The sequence below is a fragment of the Homo sapiens genome, chromosome X (genome assembly GCF_000001405.40).
Source record: "Homo sapiens chromosome X, GRCh38.p14 Primary Assembly".
In the NCBI taxonomy this organism is placed as follows: domain Eukaryota; kingdom Metazoa; phylum Chordata; class Mammalia; order Primates; family Hominidae; genus Homo; species Homo sapiens.
Window position 1 is genome coordinate 131,982,786 of NC_000023.11, and position 3,420 is coordinate 131,986,205.

The following is a 3,420-nucleotide window of genomic DNA, read 5'->3' on the forward strand; positions in this document are numbered from 1 at the left end:
TCTTAATGTTGGCCAACTTGTCCCTTCTTCCCACTATCCCTTATCCACATTGAAGAAGAAGAACACAGCAAAAGAGTCATGACCTTCTAGAATGCTAGAAGCCAATAGTCTGCTTCTTTCTTGTGATCTCCTCTCCCGGCAACCTCTCTTGCTTCCATGAGGTCAGATAGGTAACAACTCTGTTTCTGTTTGTCTCCTTCTTCTCTCTCTTTTGGCTTGTTTCCTTCAGTGAGGTAAGAAGGTAAGAAGAGAACAGAGATGCAGAAATACAGGGGCCAGTGGTTCTAGATATAGGGGAAAATGCTCTTGTTTTGATTCTCTGAACCTCTCTTTCCATTTTGCCCCTAAGATCACTCTCAGCTGTTAGATGTTACTATTCTGGTACCAAGAAAATACATGCCAGTGAGAAGAGATTAAAAGATTAAGACAACAGAGTAAGAGAGCCAGAATCAGAGCAGAGCTGAGCCCCAACCTTAGCCCAGTAACCCTGCATCCCATGGAATAAAAGCCCATTTGCACCTCTTTTGGTGTAACAGGTATTGTCAGAGCCCCACCCATATGCCAGGCAAATTCTAACTGCATTACTCCTTGCAGGTTCTTTTCCCAGAGCTGCAGAAATCTTTGTTGTCTATGTGTACAGCAATCTACAAATGCCAGTGAATTAACAGCCCCCAGGAGCAGTGAGATGTGATTCATGAGTTGATGTATAAATACCCAAACTCCAACCTGGGCAACATAGTGAGACCCATCTCTAAAAATTTCTTTTTGAAAAATTAGCTGTTCGTGATGGCACGCACCTGTAGTCCCAGCTACTTGGAAGGTGGAGGCAGGAGGATCACTTGAGCCCAGGAGTTGGAGGCTGGTGAGCCACAGTTGTACCACTGGATTCCAGCCTGGGTGAAAAAACAGACTCCGTCTCCAGAAAAAAAAAAAATTCCCAGCTCCCTTGCTCCTCAGGTGGGATAATTCTGAGGTGTGTGTTTTGCACCATTTCCCAGAGTTTCCACATATGAATGTCACTCCTTCACAGTGGTAGCTGGCTTAAAAGCACACTCTTTATTGACAGCCTTCCTTTTCTTTATTACTATTCTACCCGCTTAGAGGTGTTACCTGAAATTCTCAAAGAAATCATTTTCATTGAAATCTTTGTCTCAGGATCTACTTCCTTGAGAAGCCATACAAAGACACCATGTTAATCTTGGGTCAGTCCATAAGGAGCCCTGAATGCGACAGAAACTTTTTCAAAGTGTTTTTTGCCATTTGGTCTTACAATAATCTCTATAAAGAAACTTTGGTTCTTAGATGATAACCTAATGAGAACGTATTTGCCAAATGGGATACAGAGAGAGTAACTATAGATCAGAGATAGTAGAATATGCTTAAATACTTTCCTCTTGATGATAGCAATCTTCTAAATGCAAGGGATATGGAAAATCATCATTTTAGTATGGAGTAAAAATGTGAGGATCAGGGTCATTTTCACAAATTGAAAAATTAGAGGGATTAGGAAAAGCCACTCTGATCACTGAAAAATGTAAACATTTTCTGAATAATGCAAATGAATACTCAAATGCTTGCCAAGAGTTGTTTGAAAAAAATTAACGATTAAGATTTCTGGAACAAGCTGAATATATTTTTAAAAATTGAGAACAAAGACTTCTGGAAGAAGCTGAATACATTTAAAAACAATTAAGGATAAAGATTTATAGAACAAGTTGAACACAATTTAAAAGAAAGTATAACTAGAACAATATGCTCTCAGCTTCAACAATACATGAATGAGAAAATTAACAATAAAACTGTCATTTTTGAGTACTTATTTAAGTATAAACAATTTGCCGTATATTTTATGCACACTATCTCATTCAATCCTTACAATAACTCTGAAAGTTATTATTTTTATCCCCATCTTATACACAAGAAAACTGAGGCACAGAAAAGTTGAGTAATTCTTCTGAGGTCACACAGCTAGTACTTAGCCTAGATAGGGTTTGAAATCATGTTTTTCTGACTCTCAAGCTTATAGGTTTTCTACTTTCATATACATTTTTATTACTGCATTTTTATTTCTCTTGGTATGCACCTATTACTTTCAATAATCAGACCATGTGTCTAATCTGAAATTGATAAAATATAATCGTTATGTTGATAATGGGTCAACACAGCATCATATGCCCAATCAGGTCTATAGATTCTATGCACTTGGCTTTTTGACAGAATCAAGTCTAGCATGGTTTGCATACTTGATATGGCTTGTGAGTTCCAAATTGTCATTTTCTGATTCAGAACCTAGCAGAGTGCCTTGCAAATAGTAGGCTCTCAATAAATGAATAGAAATAAATGACTGAATCAAGTCCCAAGTTTCCTTCTGACTGGTTTCCAGGCTTAAGCCTCTCACTTAAGCTTGAAACTATAATTAACCCTATCACCAAGATTTGAGGTAATTGCTTCTTCCCTCTTAAGTCAATGATAAGAAGCTCTTTCCTTTACACCCACCCCATCCCCTTTGCAGCTTTGGACAATTTTCAAGGTGTTCTCCTGGGTCTTGACGCTTGATTCCTCGGTCATCAGGTTTCTATCTCCTCCTATTTTCCTGGGCATTGACAACAGATCCTCCTTACTCCTGAGAAGTGCTTCTTTCCTTCCTGCCTCTTTGCCTTTGTTCACAGTATTCCCTTGGACTGGACTGGCCCCCTCCCCCATGTCTTGGCTTCTGTCTGGCTCTAGTCTCAGATTCCTGAACCTTGCCTGAACCAGGTACAGATGTAATTCCAGCCCCAGTCTCTAGTCCCTGCTCTCTAGTCCACCTAGGGGTACTTGTTTCAGGCTGCTGGGGTCTCCAACCTTGAGCTGACCCCTCAGATCTGGTGGCTGGCCTGTGTGAGCCTGATAAGGAGGCAGAGAGACCCGAGAGGTCACCACCAGTCTGTCTTTGTCAGCTGGAGGCCTGGATTCCAGCATGTTCCTGCAAATATGTGACTTATTTACTCATCTTGCTTTTTGTTTGAGCTCTTTCAACACAGCAGGTTCCCCCAAATGATTTCAGACAGGACAGAAAGAGCCCTGCCCTCATCAGTCCATGAGTGAAATGACAAGTCGGGCTTGTAAACAGGATTCCAGCCTTTTCTGAGGCTCAGCTGCCTGTGGAGACATGCAGCCCCACAGCACATCCCCACAGAGACACGTGGTACCAACTAGAGGCAGTAAGATGAGTATTGATGTGGTTTGCGCACCTCTGGATGTATGATTCCATTTAAAATGGAGGCTAGCCTCTTGGTGAGAGTCCTGTTGACTCCATCAAGGAGAGCAGTGATGTGATGTATTGTAATGAGTGTCCTGCTTGATAGGTGGCAATTTAGGAAATCCAATCAGCTGGCCTGAACCATGCTAGCCCTCCACATACATTAGAAACACTTTTCA

The 3,420-nt window shown here is 41.1% G+C and overlaps 1 annotated feature.

Annotated features, from left to right (window-relative positions):
* Window positions 2,856-3,150: an enhancer, noted in NCBI's record as "tiled region #3545; K562 Activating DNase unmatched - State 5:Enh". NCBI's record gives its function as "activates a minimal TATA promoter and a strong SV40 promoter by Sharpr-MPRA in K562 cells {active_cell/tissue: K562}" and the evidence as "EXISTENCE:reporter gene assay evidence [ECO:0000049][PMID:27701403]".